We start from the raw sequence: 20735 nt of genomic DNA, 5'->3' as shown, positions 1-20735 counted from the left end.
TTAAGTAGATTAACTAGGAGAAAAATATGTTTTTCGTTATTTCATATAGAGAAGTTGGTAAGCTTTATACACTTGTTATTTGTTGTTAAAATATAAAGATGCAGCTAAGTGAAGAGAATAGAATTTTTTTCTTCAAGAAACTATGGCTATTATTATTAAATAATTATCTGGCTAAGTATAGTAATGCAGCAAAAAGATTTTTTAATGTACTCTTAATACTTAAGGGGAATAATAGAAAAAAAATATTGCCTCACTTCTTAAAAATGTCAACAGATATTTTACTACTGTTGTTAAAAACTCTCTTTGGAGCCAGCCACAGTGGCTCATACATGTAATTCCCACACTTTGGGAGGCTCTGGCGGCTGAATCATTTGGCCAGGAGTTTGAGACCAGCCTGGCCAACATGGTGAAACCCTGTCTCTACTAAAAATACGGGAAAATTAGCCAGGCATGGGGGCATACACCTGTAATCCCATCTACTTGGGAGGCTGAGACACGAGAATTGCTTGAACTCAGGAGGCAGAAGTTGTGGAAGCTGAGACTGCACACTGCACTTCAGCCTGGGTGACAGAGCAAGAATTTGTCAAAAGACAAAACAAAACTCTTTGGCCAATTTGGCAGTACAACTGTGTCTACCACTGTCACATACTTTGTGAAAACATCACAGAGACCCGAATGTCAGTTTTCACAAGTGAGAAAGGAGATTCAGGGTGATATGTTTACATATTGAATGGAGAAATGTTTTTTGTTTGTTTGTTTGTTTTGGCTTTGGTTTTTTGTTTGTTTGTTTTGTTTGTTTGTTTGTTTGTTTGTTTGTTGGAGACGGAGTCTCTCTCTGTCACCCAGGCTGGAGTGCAGTGACATGATCTCAGCTCACTGCAGCCTCTGCCTCCTAGGTTCAAGCGATTCTCTGCCTCAGCCTCTCAAGTAGCTGGGACTACAGGCATGTGCCACCACGCCTGGCTAATTTTTTGTATTTTGGTAGAGACAGGGTTTCACTGTGTTGCCCAGGCTGGTCTCGAACTTCTGAGCTCAGGCAATCTGCCCGCCTTGGCCTCCCAAAGTGCTAGGATTACAGGCGTGAGGCACCGCACCTGGCCAAGAAATGGTTTTTCATATAATCTCCATTGGTCTGTCATGACAACAATAGCCCTTTTCCTTTTTGGAGGGAATGTTGTTATTTTATGATTACTCTCCTTTTTAGGAAATGATACATGATCTACTTTCTCATGCCTGCTCCCTCTGTCACATTTATACGCTCAATAAAAAAAAAAAAAAAAGGAAAAAGAAAAGTAAATAGTTTTGACAAGTTAGGCAACTGTCACATCAAGTTTGCCAAGACTTTGATTTTAAACAGATAGACTTTGACTAATAAGAAGTACATTTAGGGGGAATATTTTATTTTCTCGGAAGTAAAAATAAATTGCATAAAGTTATTACTAGACTTAAAGAGGCATGTTTTCATGTTTTCCTTTTGTTTATTGTTTTGATAAATCTTTAAGGAAATAATAGTAACGGAAACAACAATAAGTAACGATAATAGTTGGCTTCACTTAATTGAACTCTTATTCTGTACAAAACTCTCTTCTAAATACATTATATGCACTATCACAAGGAGGTATTTACTAATTATATTCCCATTTTCCCAACAAGGAAAGAAGACACAGAAATACGTATTAACATGACCAAGTTCACACCATTAGTGAGAGGATGAGCCAGAATTCTAACTGAGGTAGTCAGGTTCCAGAGAAGCCGCATCACTTCTCACTAAACGAAATGTCTTTTTTGAAAATTCTAAATTCACTATTGTGAGTCAATGACTATATTAATTACACTGAAAGCTACATAGCAGAAGGTAAGCTTTTTTTGCTTAATTTGCTTAAATAAATAAAACTTTTACAACCGTGGCAAGATAGACATTAAAATTATTTTATAAGTAATTCATGTCAAGTAGAAAGTATGATCTAATTCTATCCTTTTAGAAAATAACCTGATTCTGTTTAACAGATATTGTAAGATACAATAGCTAATGCGTATAGAATGTTTACCATGTGTCAAACACTTGTTTCAGTAAGTGAAAAGTGAAACACTCTCTATTGTGTCACTGTTTTATCAAGCAAATGTAATCTTTCAGAGTCCATTATAAACAGCACATTCTGATCCATGCTTAAACTATGAAAAAATCCTTTTGAAACACTCAAAAGGAAAGGTTTTGGTTATGAATGTTTGCAAGTCTAAAATTGCATTCAATGCTAGCAAAAGATAATTTATAGCTCGTGTTTCACTTATAATATTGTCTATCCTTTTTCCTGCCAAAATCCAGGTCATTCATAATAGCAAGTTATGCATTTTATGGGACATTAATCAGGCAATCAGCTGTTGCAGGATATTAAAAAGGGCCTTGCTATAGAAGAAGAGTGAGTGGAAGATTTCTTAGGCAAACTCAATTATAGATACAGCAGTTCATTTGCTTCAGTTCCGATTTTTATCATACTCTTTTGTTGTGTGCCATACTTTATGTTTGTGCACATATATAGTCAAATGCCAAATCTGATTCCCTAAAATACAAGTCAATTATATATTTAAGTAACCATTTTCCTCTGAATTTAATTTGCAAATGGTTTTCAAGAAAATTAAAGTGATCTGTAGTTTGTTAGTGGTGTCCTTGTTCCCATGGTGAAGACTAACAATATAGCCTATTGGATTTAAAATTCATTTTGATTCAAGCTAGTCTCTTATTTAAATTTTGACTTATTAAAACTCTGTACATTCCTTAGCTTTTTGTTGTACCTTTAATACCTTTACTCCTTTATTTCATAACAATATGATTTTTCTCATGTTTCATAGCTGTTCACAGCTGTCCAATGTTTATTACAGTTAGGGTGGATATACTGCTAGCATCTAGGCAACGATTGAGGAGAGGAGATGTATGTCACCGTAGGCTGGCCCTTAGTAAGAAAGATGTGTCATCCTTCTCTTTTTCTCCTTTATTAAAAGCTGGAATGTTGGCTTAGTGGCTAGGTATCCTCATCTAAACAGGTAATCCATCCTAGGGATAGTACAGCTAGACATGGGGGGAACCTGGGTCTTCAACACCTCAACATTTTGATGTTTGCCTTTAAAAAAAACTATTTAGATTATTACAGAAGGAAAACATGAACTCTGATTTTGGAGTTCCTTGCTGAAGTCACCTATTAATTATTATATCCAAGAGAAATATTGGTACAAACATGTGTTAACATACTACAAAAACAAAACCAAAAAACAATAAACAATCCAAAATCTAAATGACATCCCCACTAGTAGATTAAAGATTAGGTAGGAAAAAGGACTTAGATATTACTCAGATCCTTGTTAAGTTATGGTAAGAATGTTCCTTGGGATATATATACATATATATATATATATATATGTATATATATATATATGTATATATATATACACATATATATATACATATATATATATATGTGTGTGTATATATATATATATATATATATATATATATGTGTATATATATATTTGAGACGGAGTTTCGCTCTGTCGCCCAGGCAGGTGTGCAGTGGCGCGATCTCGGCTCACTGTAAGCTCCACCTCCCGGGTTCACGCCATTCTCCTGCCTCAGCCTCCCTAGTAGCTGGGACTACAGGCGCCCGCTACCACACCCGGCTAATTTTTTTGTGTGTTTTTAGTAGAGACAGGGTTTCACCATGTTAGCCAGGATGGTCTCGATCTTCTGACCTCGAGATCCGCCCACCTCGGCCTCCCAAAGTGCTGCCCTGGGATATTTTGAAAGACAAAGCATGTGCAAATTGAGCTTGAAAATTTACTAGAACTGGATGGAAAAAGCAACAACACGAGAAAAAATATTGTGTGATTGTGTTTATTGCTTCTGTAATCAAAGTTCTACCATAGATGAACTAATACTAGTTGTAAAAATGACCCTGCTCTATAGAGGACTTGGAGACAAAGCTGGCTCTCTAATCCTTTCCGCAACACCTTGTATGAAGATTTCTGGGTCAGGTGTGGGAGCTAACCAATAGCAAATATTAAGTCATGCAAATTATTTTCTTCTCAGCCTAGTACTTCAGATGACCTCAAGGTGGCATGATGCGACTAAGTTTGGGCCAATGAAATATAAGCAGAATATTTGCAGAATAATTTACTTCAAAGAATATGAGTTTTCCCTCTCTTTCTTTTTTTTTTTTTTTTTTTTTTTAATTTTAACCTCATGGCTGGATGTCACCAAGCAATAGCATGTGGGAATGTGGGAATGGCAAAACTCAAAAATGGATGGAGACTTCGTTTCTGACACCATCAAGCCCACCAGATCAGCCATATTGTTAAGTGAGAGATAAAACTAGATTAAAATATTGTGTTTGGGGAGTCTCTTTTATAGCTGCTTCACCCATACCCAATTATGTATTTTACCAGATTAACAAATACTAAACTATCGGGCAATGAATCTAAAACCTTGTAAATAAGAAGTACATTTTATTAATTATGGTTTTCCTATATTCGTCTAATAAATTCTTTTCTTTTTTTTTTTTTTGAGACAGAGTCATACTCTGACACCCAGGTTGCAGTGCAGTGGCATGATACTGGCTCACTGCAACCTCCGCCTCCTGGGTTCAAGCGATTCTCCTGCCTCAGCCTCCCAAGTAGCTGGGACTACAGGCACATGCCACCACACCTGGCTAATTTTTTGTATTTTTAGTAGAGACAGGGTTTTACCATGTTAGCAAGTATGGTCGCGGTCTCCTGACCTCATGATCTGCCCGCCTCAGCCTCCCAAAGTGCTGGGATTACAAGTGTGAGCCACCGAGCCTGGCATCTGTTAATGATTTGTATACTCCAATTTACCTTTTATTATTTTGTCTACGTATCTATCATAACCATGCTTACATAAATATATTTATAGTGGTCACTGAATCACCATATTTGTGTCTTTTGTATGTGAGTTAAAAGTTTTGCATGTCTTATGAGTCTGTAAATAATTTTACATAGAGCATGTTTTATGATCTAGATATATATATTGTTTTTATTACTATTCCAAACCCAACCATATGAGAAAAATAGAATACATGGAAAAAATAGAAATTGGCTCTCTGCAGTGATATGGTTTGGCTGTGTCCCCAACCCAAATCTCATCTTGAATTGTAGCTCCTGTAATTCCCACGTGTCATGGAGGGACCACACGGGAGGTAACTGAATCATGGTGATGGGTCTTTCCTGTGCTGTTCTCCTGATAGTGAATAAGCCTTACGAAATCTGATGGTTTCATAAAGGAGAGTTCCCCTCCACAAGCTCTCTTGCCTGCCACCATGTAAGACGTGACTTTGCTCCTCAATCGCTTTCTGTCTTAATTGTAAGGCCTCCCCAGCTTTGTGGAACTGTTAGTCAATTAAACCTTTTTCCTTTGTAAATTACTCAGTTTCAGGATATGTCTTTATTAAGAGCATGAGAACAAACTAATACATGCAGAAACAAATTACACAAAAGAAGACGATTTCTCTCCTCTTGAAATTCAAAGTTCTGATGTAGTGCTGATAGGTCTCTGTGTATTAAATAATAAAACCCATGTTTTCTGCTTTTCCAGTACTTGTGTCTCCCACTAAGTTTGGGGTTTGATTTTGGTTTTATGCTCCTTTTAACAGCTTTTGCAAAGATGTACTTATTATGTAGCACTTAACTAGCTCAGTTTAGGGGATGTGATGCTTAGCAGAGATAAACAGGGTATGTGGGGTGAATGGTCTAAATATCCAGGTTGACAGTGTTATACATAACGGTCATTAAATGAATATTTTGTAAGATTGTAAAACATTAAGTACTTGTCTCTTATCATCTAGCTCCCTCCTATAATAATATCAGATGGCTTTATAGAAATCATGTATTTCATTTAATACAATGCAAATGTGTTAGGGAGTTGAAAGAAAACGAATAGTAAATATATGCCATGCTTGTTTTGTTTTGTCCTTTTTTTAACTTTTCTCTTAAATAGTAAAACAAAATATGTGTTTAAAAATATATTATGAAAATCCTACTTTAAATTATTTATTAATAAATTGTAGAGCAAAAAAGACACTAAAACAGTGTTGCAACTAAAACTATAAAATATTAAATGTAAAATATTAAATGTAATAAAATTAATTCTCATGTTTATGCAATTGATATGTTCTGAACAGGCTTGCAAAATTTTAATGTTGCATTGTCAAAATAGCATTTTGCTATCACTGTAGATAATAGAAGTGCATAGTAAAAAATTACATATCACCACTGAAACTATTTTACAGCTGGATTAGTCTAACTGAACTCTTAAATGTTTACTAGGACCACAAATTTACAAATTGGTGTTGAAGGTAAATTGGTGAACAAAACAAAATTATTTCCTCTTGGAACTTGTATTCCAGCTGTAGGTTGCAATTGTTAAATATATATGTCATCTTGGATGGGTGCTTTAAAGCAGGAAACAGAGCTGCTGGGGTGAGAATGTACTTTAAGCGGAGTAATCAAGGAAAGATTATCTGCTGTGGTGACATTTGAACAGTGGCCATAAGGAAAAAAGAGAGCATATGGTACAGGATCTAAGGGGAGAATGTTGGAGCCAGACAGATGAGGAGGTGGAAGCACCTAAAACTAATTACCCTTATTGTGGAAAAACCATAAGGATGAGGCCAGCATGGGAGGTGTGGAGAGAGCAGGGGGTGGCAGTGATGGGAAATGAAGTCAGAAAGGGAACCAGGGGGGTAATTTTGCTCTGAGTTAGGTATAACATTTTTAGAACAACAACACAAGAAAAAATATTCTGTGATTGTGTTTATTGCTTCTGTAATCAAAATTCTACCATAGATTAACTAACACTGGTTGTAAAAATGACCCTGCTCTATAGAGGACTTGGAGACAAGGCTGGCTCTCTAATCCTTTCCCCAACACCTTGTATGAAGATTTCTGGGTCAGAAATCTTAGACTGGCCACATGATGTAGGCTGACAATAACCCGTCTTGCTGGCAGGGACTAAGAGAGGGTGTTCTCACTTGGTCACAAAAGCCAAGCTCTCAAGTCATACAAAAGGACAAAGGGGAACTTCATCCACTATTGTTTCTCAGGGACTCACAGCACAGTTTGTCTAAACCAACACCTATGTGATGTGAATCCAAAACTCAACAGTCTCTGGGCCCAGCTTGAGCAACGTGCTTCTAAGGGTTTTAAGTCTGTGTCTTATAGTTCCCTTCTTTATGACAAATAACATAGACAGAGACAAAGAAAAACAGAGACCATTTTCAGGAGGAGAAGCTTGAACAAATTCAAAAATTAAGTAGCACATACAATTGCACTACAAAACTCATAAAATACTTTTAGGTGTAAATCTTCCAACATATGTGCAATGTCTATGTTGTAAACTATAAAACAAAATATTTCATGTTTGTTGATTAGCAGACATCATTATTATTAAGATGTCAATTCTCAATGTCATCTACAAAATCACCGCAACTAAAAAACCAACAAAAAAAGTACTAGAAGGATATTTTTAGTGTTGGAGAAGCTGATTTTAAATTTCAGGTAGAAACACAGATGAAGATGAAGAACAAAGTTAGGTTTCTTACATTTTCTGACTTCAAGACAAATCATTATCAGATTGCAAAACTACAGTAACCAAGATAGCATGATATTGAAGAATTTATGGACATGCAAATTTGTAGAAGAGAAGAGCGAGTCAAGCAATAGAAATGCTAAATATAGTCAGTGATTTTCAACAAATATGCAAAAATAATTAAGCATAAAAAACAAAATGTTTCAACAAATTGTGCTGAAACTAATGGATAACCATATATATAAAGGGATATTTTTATTATAGAATATATGTTATATGTGAAATATTGTATATGTTGTATATTCACATATAGCTACATATTTAACATTTATATAATTATATATAACTATAAGTCAACATATAACATATAATTATATAAAAGTTATTTAAATATATAACATTATAATTATATAAAAGTTATATAAATATATTAACTATATATACAACATATACAATATGTCATTTATAACATATTCTATAATAAATACATGTTGATTATACATATTTGTATATATAGTTATATATTTATATGCAACTTATATACACACAAATGTTTTTATATTTGTATATATAAAGATATGTTTTAATCTATATATACATATATACAACAGCCTCTTTTTATACCCCATATATACCTCATTTATACCTCACTTCCTATAAAAAACTTGAAACCAATTTTAGACCTAATGTAAGACAATATTTTTAAGCTTAAAATCTTGTAGAATTAAGCATACAAGAAAGTCTTTGGGACCTTGGCATAAGCAATGATTCCTTAGACATGATACCAAAAGCATATATTATAAGAGAAAGAAATTGATAAATTGGTCTTTATAAAAATTTAAAACTTCTGTTATCTGAAATATAGTGTTAGGAGAAAGGAGGGGGAAACTACATTTTGGGAAGAAATATTTGCAAATTATATAAAGGATCTGTATCCAGAATAAAAAACAAAAACTAAAACCTGCAAGCAATATGAAAACAAACAACCCATTTAAACAATGGATAAAAATCTGGGCCGAGCACGGTGGCTCACGCCTGTAATCCCAGCACTTTGTGAGGCTGAGGTGTGTGGATCAGGAGGTCAGGAGTTCGAGACCAGTCTGGCCAACATAGTGAAACCCCATCTCTACTAAAAATACAAAAAAATAGCTGGGAGTGGTGGCACATGCCTGTAGTCCCAGCTACTCAGGAGGCTGAGGCAGGAGGATTGCTTGAACCTGGGAGATGGAGGTTACAGTGAGCCAAGATTGCAGCATTGCACTCCAGCCTCGGGGACGGTGTGAGACTCCATCTCAAAAAAAAAAAAATCTGAACAAGTACTTCATCAGATAAGATATGCAGATGGCAAATAAGTACAAGAATAGATGTTCAACATCATTTGTCATAAGGTATCCCAAAAGAAAAACTGGACAAATGTATCAAAAGACCCCTATTAAAACGTCTAAACAAACAAATTCACAATGAGAAGTGTTGATAGGAACACAAAGTTCAGAAATTCTCATGCACTATTACTGAATATGCAGAATGTTACAGTTATTTTGAAAAGTAATTTGGAAGTCTTCTTAGAGCATCAAGCATACACTTGCGATATGACTCTATAATCCCACTCCTAGATACCTCTCCAAGTGAAACAAAATACTAAGCTTACTAAGAAACCTATATCAGAATATTTATACCATATTTATTTTTAATATACCAATACTGGAAGCAAAACAAATGTACCTCAACTGAGAAATAAAAACAAACAAACAAACAAAAAATGGTATTTGCTTACAATAGAATACTACTAAATGACAAAAAGTACAAACTATTGATATACACAACATCATAATGCATAAATAAGTGATACCCAAATCTTTTGTAACATGTGATTTTATTTATATGGTCTCTGTAAAATTATTGGGGCCTGAAACAATGAATGCTGGGTTAATGAAGAGGCTGGCCACAGCCACAAAGGACATTTAGAGAAATCTCTCCAATGATGGAACTGGTGTATATTGTTGATTATTGTGGTGATTATCTGACTGCACTCATTTGCCAAAACTCATGAAACTGTAAACTAAAACTGGTGAAATTTATTGGATATACATTAAACCATAATAACACCAATGGAAAAATTCCTACATGATATAGTTACAATTGGTACTTAAACAGTCACCTGTTAAAATTTTCCTTTCTGATGCACATCCTTCTTGCTGTAATATATTTCAATTTGGATCATTTTCCTTCCTTAGTATTTCCTGTAGAGTAAATCTTCTGAGTGTTTCTTTTTATTTTTCTTCTTGTCTTTGAGATGAGGTCTTACTCTGTTGCCCAGTCTGGAGTGCAGTGGTGCAATCATGGCTCACCGCAGCCTCAAACTCCCTGGCTCAGGTGATTCTCCTACCTCAGCATCTCCAACAGTGGGACCACAGGTGTGCATTACCATGCCTGGCTATTTTTTAAAATTATTTATAGAGATTAGGTCTCCCAATGTTGCCCAGGCTGATCTTGAGCTCCTGACCTCAAATGATCCTCTTGCCTTGACCTCCCAAAGTGCTTGTACTACAGGTGTGAGCCACCATGTCTTTCAAAAATGTCTCAAATTCACTTTCTTTTTTTAAAGAAGGTTTTTGCTGGTATAGAATTCTGGATTGCTGTTTCATTGCCTTTTGTTGTTGTTTAACATATTCGGGATGTCATTCAATTATTTTCTTGCATTTATGACTTTATTATGAATGGGTCCAGGCAGGTAAGTAGATCTCTGAAAGCCAGATTCACTTTACATATAATCACTTGCTTCTGGTAGACTAAAATATGAGGCAAAATGAAGCCCAGAGCAATACTGCAAGTTGGAGAATTGCTGAAAGAATATCTTCTTGGAAGAAGGATTTTGGACTTTTTTTTCACTTTCGTTTCTTACAGCAAGTTTTGTATAAAACTGAGCATGGAAATTCTCAGTATGGTTGCATAAATTACATATATGCAGATTGCTTTATTTAATTTTTTAGCTGAATACCATTTATATACAACACCCATAGTTTCTACTCAGGATTCAAACATCCGACACTTAGTATGACCCTACACTCACACCATATATAGAGGATATAAAACTTTGTAGAAAGGGTATAAATTCTGATAAATGGAAGCTATGTCCTAAAAGATAATAAATATAATCAATGTAATGTAACAAATATGTGCTGTATATAACCTAATACATTCTGAAGTGTAACTTTAGCCTATCAAATTTGTGATATTTCAGCTATATAAAATGACTTAAAGGCATATATCCTCATTCTATTGCACATTAATTTAATGTGTAATGGACTTGTGTTGGAAGCGATAGATGGCAGTATTGGTTCATTATTAAAGATAATTTATAATTATCTCATTTACCCATTATCCATCTAACCCTATTATTTTTCTATAGTTTTATAGGTAAGTGTGTGAAGATATTTTAAAAAATTAATTTAAAGACAGCTGCAATACAAAAAACCTAGGTAACTTTGATTTGCATTTTCTCTCTGTAAAAAACATTAACCGAGGAATGACAAAAGTAGGGAACAAAATGCTTTATTCTTTTCTTTTATGTGTGGTTCAGAATAGATTACTCACAAAGTCAGTTAAAAATTATCACAGTGTGCTGCTATGGGATCATCCATCCTCTTCATCTTTAGTTCATTGAGAACATTTGTTTCTAGTAAGCTTTCCAGAGCACTTTCCATAATACCTCCTTAGCCTTCGAAATCACTTTGATTATAACATATTATTTAATTCTGAAGCTAAATCAAATACAATAAGAAATATCTATTTTCCCAAAATAGGTTTTCTGTTGTTCTGGAGAAAAAAAATTAAATTTTAAGTGAACAATGAAAAACTGAATATTCTATAGACAAGAAAGAAAATTATTAATTTTAAACAGTATCAGGAATATGACTAAGGGGCATGCATAAAAAATTATTGCCATGGTAAGATAACATTACAATGAATTAGTCATATATTGCAGAAGAAACCAAAAAAGACAGTATATTTTGGGTCACCTAGTTAATATTCTTTACTAAATGTTTCTAATATTATAAAGGTAACTGCAATGACCTATTAAGCTTATCTTGAGGTGACTGTTGGTGATTGTTTGATAGCTGAATAATGTATGTCACTCATGAATCCATTTCTGTTGTGTGAGTGTGTTAGATTTCAAGGAGTGTGTTAGATTTCAAAACAAAATACGATTTTAAAGTTATACTTTATTTTCTTCTTTATAAAGAGATCAAATATCAATTCAAGTCAATAGCTAGAGTAAGAAGGTAACAATTTAACATCATCAAATTCTCATGAAGGCTTTCGGCAATAAGAATACAATGTCATGGAGCCACACTAAAGTGCTCCGTCCTTCACCTGCAAAATAACATTTCACACTTTTGTTTTGCACCATAAATAGCAACTGATATGGGAGCAAGTTGAACTTGTTTGTAAAATTCACAAAATAATCAAGATACCATTGTAATTCTTCCTTTTGAATTAACCAAATTTGAAAAGATAACTCAAAATTATTGGTCTTAATTTTTTCTTTGTATTTTGACACCCACTTTTTATCTCCTGCTGTTTCAATATCAGACAAATGACAGCAAACCTTCCCTTGATTTAACCTGTGCTAATTATTACTCTTTTTAAAGTTTTCAATGTGTCTTTTTATTGTGGAAAAAAACTCTCTTTAAGATAATTAGGTATAATTTCCAAATGCCAGTTATTGATTTAGAAAAATGATAACTCCGTGTAAATAAGTAAATTGCCTGAGGTCAAATAGCAAATCACTGAAGGAGGCTTGGAATGAAGAATTCTGATGATCTCTGCTCCTCAATCTTTCTGCTACCTCATGCACCTTCCAATTTGAAAATTGTTCTTTTACAGATTCAAAGGTTTTTGAAAATGTTTTAAATTAATTCTCAAAACCACAGATTCATGGTCTAAAGGGAGATATTCCAGAATATTCTAGGTACAAAGTAACCGTATTTAATGAGCATAAGAATTGTATTAATAATGGACTGGATTCCAAAGGTAAAAACTGGCGTGGATGATGAAGACATATTTCAAGGTTACTCTCATTTGGTTTATAGCTTTATTAGCCAAAAAGCAGTGCAAAGGAAGACATAAAACAGAAAAGACAACACGTGACTTTATCTGGATTTCTGTTGCCATTGTTATACAAACCTGCCCGCATTTGAATAGAATTAGTTCAGACAGTAAAGAATGGCAATCAGTGAAGGAGCTACTGCCTTAAGTTACATTAGACTTGTAGAAGACCATGTCAGCAATCAACAGCCCACCTCCTACCAGGTAAGGAGGTTCTTCATATTTCATAGCTGTATACTTCACCTTATTTTTTTTTTACTAGGCCTTTGGTCCAATAGCAGTGGTAACTATAGAATTGTAAAAGCAGTAACCTAAATTATTTTTCTATAAATTATATCCACAGTGTTAATTTCACCACGTTGTTGCTTGGAAGTCAAGCAAAATAATGTATAGATGGCATATCAAGTACACAAAAATAAAATCAACAATGACTATCAGCGAACATTGGTACAATGTATGAGTGTAGCTCTACATGGTGCAATCACACGTGTAGGCTGGTGTAAACATCACCACAGTCAAGCCATAGAACTCTCCCATTATCATGAACATTCCCCTCGTGCTATTTCTTTACAGTCCCGTTCACCATCTTCTCATAGGCCCTAACTCTACCTTTCAGCAACCACTAATTTGTTTTTTCTTTTCTATGATTTGGCCACTTTTTATGGTTATGTAAGAAGTTTTACATACTATGTGACCTTTTTAAGATTAGCTGTTTTCAGTCAGCGTGATAGCCTCAAGATTCATTCAAGCTGTTGATTGCATCAGCAGTCGGTTACTATTTGTTGCTAAATCATACTCTATTATATGGATGTACCAAGTTTATTTAAGCACTTGTCCATAAGGGAGCACTTTGGTTGTTTCCAGTTTGGTGCTGTTATAAATAAAGGTACTATAAATATTTGTGTAGAGATATTTGCATAGACACACATTTTCAGCTCCCTGGCTTAAATGGCTAGGAGTGCAATTGCTGGATCATATGATAAGCATATGTTTAGTTTTTTTACAAAATTTCCAAACCACTTTTTAAGCTACTGCTAAAAGCGGCTGTTCCATTTTACATTTCTACCAACAGTATATCAGGGATTCAGTTTCTTTGTATCCTCACCAACATTTGGTATTGTCACGTCAATTTTTTAAAATTTTTGCTGTTCTAATAGGTGTGTAGTAATATCACTTTGTAGTCTTAATTTGCATTTCCCTAATTGCTAGTGATGTTGGATATCTTTTGATGTGCTTATTTATCATACGAATGTTGTTTTCAGTGAAATGCCTCTATGTATCTTTGGACATTTTGTAATTGGATTTTTTATTGTTGCATTTTGAGAGTTCTTTACATATTCCAGATATAAGTCCTTTTTTGGATATGTGCTTTTACAATACTTTCTCCGTCTGTAGCTTGTCTTTTCATTCTCTTTACAAAATAATGCACGCACAAAAATATTTTAATTTTGATGAAGTCAATTTATCTTTTTTTATTAACTGATCTTGTTCCTGGTGTTATATATAAAAACTTTTTAAAAAACTGTAGATTGTAAAGGTTTTTCCCTATGTTATATCCTAAAAGTCTAATAGTAAATTTTTTCTCATTAAACTTTTTTAATGGGTCTCAAAATTCTGTGATAAATTTTTGGTCAAATTGTTTCCATTAAAAAGTACTGATTTTAAAAACTAATACTTTAAACCTGCCACACCCAAAAAAGAAAACCAAAGTGGTCCACAAAACATTCTCCTTTCCTTCTGAAGGTTTCACGATGCATCGTTATCATTAACCAGTCTTTTACTACTGAACTTAAATGGCCAATTGAAACAAACAGTTCTGAGGCTGTTCTTCCAGCACTGATTAAGACCGGGGTGGCAGGTATTACGCATAATATTCATTTATCCTTCTGAGCTTTCTGTGCAGACTTGGTGACCTTGCCAGCTCCAGCAGCCTTCTTGTCCAATGCTTTGATGACACCCATGGCAACTGTCTGTCTCATATCATGAACAGCAAAGTGACCCAGAGGTGGATAGTCTGAGAAGCTCTCAACACACATGTGCTCGCCAAGAACCATATCAACGATGGCAGCATCACCAGACTTCAAGAATTTAGGGTCATCTTCCAGCTTTTTACCAGAACAGATATCAATCTTTTCCTTCAGCTCAGCAAAGTTGCATGCAATGTGAGCTGTGTGGCAATCCAGCACAGGGGCATAGCCAGTGCTGAACTGGCCCGGATGGTTCAGGATAAGCACCTGAGCGGTGAAACCAGCTGCTTCCACTGGTGGGTCGTTTTTTCTGTCACCAGCAACGTTGCCAGGACGAGCATCCTTGACAGACACTTTCTTGATATTGAGGCCCACATTGTCCCTAGGAAGAGCTTCACTCAAAGCTTCATGGTGCATTTCGACAGATTTTACTTCAGTTGTAACACTGACCGGAGCAAAGGTGACCAGCATACCAGGTTTGAGAACACCAGTCTCCACTTGGCCAACAGGAAAAGTACCAATACCACCAAGGGCTTGTCAGTTGGACAAGTTTGTGGTAGGATGCAGTCCAGAGCCTCAAGCAGCTTGGTTCCACTGGCATTGCCATCCTTACTGTGACTTTCTATCCCTTGAACCAAGGCATATTTAATATTTAAGTCTATGATTGATTTTTATGTAATATTAATGTAGGGTGTGGTTTTTTATTTCCCTTATAAATTGCCAGTGGCTTCAGCACCTTCGTTAAAAGTACCATCCTTACTCCAGGAATTGTTTTGTACCTTTATGAAAACTCGGGTGGCTGTCCTTGTTTGGAAGTTATTTCTGGGTACTCCATTCTGTTTTGTTTATCTTTGTTGTATCTCTACCTCTCAAAACCATACCGTCATGAGTATAGTAGCTACATATTTAAGTTTTCGTATTGACTAGAGTGAGTCTACTCATTTTATTATCTATAGTGTTGCTTTAGCTATTTTCATTTCCTCTTATTTCTATATAACTTTTACAATAAAACTTTTACAATACTAACTTTTGTCTGGAAAAGTATTACAGGCATTTTCAGAGGAATTGCAATGAACATTTCTCTCAATTTGGGTAGAATTTACATCTTCACCATAATTCTTCCAATGTATAAACTTTGTGGTGCTATTTATTTATATTTTTTTTAATATTGCAATATTCAGTATACAAGTACACTTACATATATTTTTATTTTGTCTACTGAATTTTTCAGTTTTAAAGTTTCCACATTTTTAATCTTCTATTTTTTTATGTGTCTTTCTATTTCTGTGCCATACTTTCTTTTTCTTTCCATTTGTTTCAAATGTATTTGTAATTGCTTGTTGAAACAGTTAATAATGGCTGTGTTAAATTTCTTTTGTGATCATTTAAATATTTCTGTCATCTTAGTTTTAGTATCTGTTGATTTTCTCATTTTATTTAACATGAGATCTTATAGATTCTTGCTATAATGAGTAACTTTCAATTAAAATCTTGACATTTTGATAGTATGTGGTGAAACATTTGACCTTATTTAAGATTTGAATTTTAGCAGGCATCCACTGACATTGTTCCAGCAGCTGAAAGGTGGCATCAACTCCTTACTGCTGCATTGGAATATGAATTTATTATGCCAACGTTAGAATTAGGCTTTTGAAACACACTCTACTTCTCACATAACCTAAGTAATATTGAATTTCTGGGTTCACTAATAACTATCTTAGATCTTTTTTAAAATGATGATGTTCATGACACAGTATTTTAATCACTGCAGTTTTTATAATAGATTGATAACTAGAATGACAGGCCACCCTGCTTACTCTTCCTCAGGAGTGTCTTGGTAGCATTATTATTTTGCTTTTCTATAACCTTCAGGTTCAGCTTGTCAATGTTCTTTATAAGTAAACACCATGTAAAAATTTTTAAATTGCATTCAATTTATCAATTAACAGAGAATTGATACCTTTACAGTAATGGGTCTTTCACACCCATAAGCAAATTATCTTTACATAACTAGATCTTTTCTAATAATCTTCATTGAGAATTAAAATTTTCTCTGGGTAAATTTTATATCATTGTTATATTCATATCTAAATATCCTTGTTTCTGTTTACATGTTTAACTTTAATATATTTTAATTATATTTTTTAATTTTACTGACAGATATACAAATGTAATTGAGGTTCTTTTTTCAGGCCTAAACTAAGCAAATTGAGTTTAGATACCTTGTTTATTTGTATTGCTGTTTTTCAGAAAACCTTTTGTGTTCTATGCAGGTAATCAAATTATTTTGAAAAATAAAAGTTTATTTTTTTCCATCAAAATTCGAATATTTCCTCCTTATATAATACTACTTAACCTTATATTTTCTTGATATAATGCAATGGTTTTGAGTTTCAGTACCATAATAAATAAAAGTGTTATAGCAGTCATCTTTGTTTAATCTATGATCCCAAATGATAAGCATTCAATATTTTTTATTAATGTGTTTTATTTACTCCTCACATTGTTTGTGTTTCTGTCTGTAAATAGTCTTTGAGAGAGTATCCCTGCTCTTTTCTTGTTTGAGAAGGTTTATATTAATGGACAGATGCTACATTTTTTATTTTAGATTTTAGATTTTTTTCTGCATCTAATAAGATCATGCTATTTTTTTTTTTTTTTACCTTTTTGTTTTGATAATGTGGTTGAAAGTTTATCTACCACTGCACTCCTACATAAATCCTGGTCAATATAATACATTTTTGTTTGGTTTCTCTATTGGTTTTTTATGTTGTAGGAGTTGATTTTCTAAAAATTTTGTTCCCCATGACCAAGGGGGAAAAAAATGGAAAATTTTCGACAGTACTAGCAGGTTTTAATTGTTTATTTACAAATAAATAACAGGCAGGATCTCAACAGCCTAGTTGTGTCCACGTTAATACCACAGCTCCTATTCACTAATTATCTATACTTAATATTCTATTAGGAATATACATGAAATAAAGTTTAGGCATTGTTTGATTTTTCAACTGGAATTTACCTACTATTGATTGAAAATTTGAATTTTTAAAAATAAAAGTTAAAACCATTGTTTCTAACTGGGAAAAAAATTATAATACAAAAGGAAAATATCCAACATAGAAACAAAAGCATAAAACTTAAAAAATGACTATCATTTAAATCGTTCAGTATGTAATATTGCCTACTGTTTTAATTGATGCATGATATGGTCAGATGAAACAATGCTAACATATATTAACCTATGTGATGAATCATAAGAAGTCTTCTGTTCTGAAGTCACTGAGAGTAAAAAAAAATATCCAATTCGATGTAGAAATAACTGGAAACTGTGGCTGGCATATAAGTTCAGAATTGGAGTAGGTGAAATTTTAGACTCAGCAGTAACTTTCACTTTCTAGAAAAATTTTATGTCGTCTCAGTTTCCTGGTACTTGGTTTGAGAATCATTCCAATTTGTCAGTACAAAGTTTAGAATGAACTGATCCTTTTTTTTTTTTTTTTGAGATGGAGTCCCGCTCTGTGGCCCAGGCTGGAGTGCAGTGGTGTGATCTCGGCTCACTGCAAGCTCCGCCTCCCGGGTTCACACCATTCTCCTGCCTCAGACTCCCAAGTAGCGGGGACTACAGCCACCCGCCACCATACCCGGCTAATTTTTTGTATTTTTAGTAGAGACGGGGTTTCACCGTGTTAGCCAGGATGGTCTCGATCTCCTGACCTCATGGTCCGCCCACGTCAGCCTCCTGAAGTGCTGGGATTAGAGGCGTGAGCCACGGCGCTCGGCCGAATGAACTGATTCTTAAATCCTTATAAATAAATTATCAAATAAAGCTATCTAGATTCTAGCTGCTAGTGATGACTCTTGCCATTTTATAAGTGTTTAAGTAGGTACTCTAACAGAACATTTGTACAAAATCTTGATAAACTAAGCCAGATACTGGGATGAACAAAGGATAGTAGATATCCTTGTAGCTTCTGATGCCATCTTCTATATTTCTGTGATCAAACATGGTCCATGTTGCTCCTATCACTTAATGATTATCAAGAAGTTTTTCACTACATTCAGCCAGTAGTCTAATCAGCCATCAGACTTGTTCTTGCCTTGAATTAATCATCTTAATTTCTCTTTGGATCATCTCCATTGAAAAGCACATTTTGTTTTAGATTAACATGATTTTCTTGTCTAGAAGCAATAGATCAATTCATTTCCAATAATTTCCTAGAAAAATGATGCTTTATAGCTTTTTATCCATTCCAGTAAGGGAACAAAGCAATGGATGATCCGATTAGTCAATAAAACTCCTCAGAAAAATTAGTTCTGAAACAGAACCTTCCCAATATTCCATTTGGGTCAGGATGATATCACAATGATTTTGATTTAATGGATAATGTAGAGTGTTCTGTAATATTATACATGTTAATTCCGAGACCAAACATGTTTCTTCCTCTGGCAAACTCTTCAGCCCATATTGTCCATCACATTCAATGTATGAAGAAAACTGGACTCTTCTGTACTTGAGAAATGAAAAGTTTATTTATTTCTAAAGGCATCAACATGAAAGTTGGATCTGAGATTAGGATTGCTAAAATGAATTCAAACACTAAAGTTCTGTTCTTGCAGATCCAGAGATGTATGCACATGAAGCCTCCTTATAACTGAGAGGAAAAAGATCTAGTCTGGTAAAGAATCAAATTACAAACAAACAAAAGTAGACAACATTAGCTATGTTTCGACAATAAAATAAAGATGTATACTCATGTTATGGTTTCCTGATTCACGAAGCTGAAAAACTTGCCGTCTGTATTTTATCCCATCCTAAATTATTCATATGAAAGTACTTTATGCTACTACATGTTTTCAAATATTTTCGAAGCTGATAAAGGACAGATGTTCTCATTTGAGTGTAGGTAGAAAACCCAGAATATTTCCTGGTCATAGCCTCCCCTTTTACCATCTGATCATTGAGGATATTCCCTAAGGAGTTACTTGGGAGTTAGGAGGAATCCCAGAACAACTATTTGAAAGTCAGGTATCTCACTGATAGAGAAGGATTAAAAAATAAAAATGATTAAAGGAGTCGTCCTAAGATGTTTCCTAAAACAAGACAATCCATATTCTTCAGTAGAATAAAAACTGATAAAAAATAAAAATTAATAATACTTACAAGATGAATATTTTTCTTTATTTCAATTTCTCTTTTATTTAGACCCATAAAATAGTTTTTGTTTACGTTAAATAGACTAATCTTTTGCTGAAGATTCCATTGTTTTTGATTGTGGAAGTGTTTACCATGTTTCTTCATAGGCAAAATTTTAAGTATCTTGATATACTAACCTGGGATTAAAAAAAAAAATCCTTCTCAAAATGGTGCAGAAGTTAAATGTGGAACGTGAAGTAATTTGTTCATATTTTAAGAGAAATTGAATTATGTTTAATAAATATTTTGCTGCGTACACCTTTTATGTCTCATCTAAGTAGCAATTGCCTAACTAAAGATGTAAACACTTACTGCTACATGTCTTGTAAAAGATTTAGTGTTTTCACCCTTAGATTTAATTCTTTGAAATATTGAGAGTTAAATTTATATATGATTTGAGATAGGATTACAACTTTATTCTTTTCCATGTGATACCCAGTTTTCACAGCACAATTTTTTGAAAAGATACTTTTTTTCCCTACCAAAATGCTTTGATACCCTTGTTAAAAATTAACTGACCTTAAATGGAAGGTTTTATATCATTACACATTAAGTGTAATTAATATTAAGTGTTAACTTGTTTGGATTGAAGGATGCAAAATATTGTTTCTGGGTGTTGCCAGAAGGGATTAACATTTGAGTCAGTGGACTCGGAGAGGAAAACCCACACTCAGAAAGACGCATTCACAATGTGGGTGGGCACCATCCAATAGGCCACCAGCTGGCTAGAAAAAGCAGGCAGAAGGTGGAAGAAGCAGAGTGGGGGGTCTTCCTGCTTTTGTGTTTCTCCTGTGCTGGATGCTTCCTGCCTTTAAACATCAGACCCCAGGTTCTTTGTCCTTTGCACTCTTTGAACTTACACCAGCGGTTTGCA

At 34.1% G+C, this 20735-nt stretch overlaps 1 pseudogene; it reads right to left on the bottom strand.

Annotated features, from left to right (window-relative positions):
- EEF1A1P1 (eukaryotic translation elongation factor 1 alpha 1 pseudogene 1) lies at positions 14280 to 15313 on the bottom strand (annotated as a pseudogene).

Source organism: Homo sapiens, chromosome 21, assembly GCF_000001405.40.
Source record: "Homo sapiens chromosome 21, GRCh38.p14 Primary Assembly".
NCBI classification, from domain to species: Eukaryota; Metazoa; Chordata; class Mammalia; order Primates; family Hominidae; genus Homo; species Homo sapiens.
Note: the sequence above shows the minus strand (reverse complement) of the source record. Positions and strands in the feature narration are given on the sequence as shown.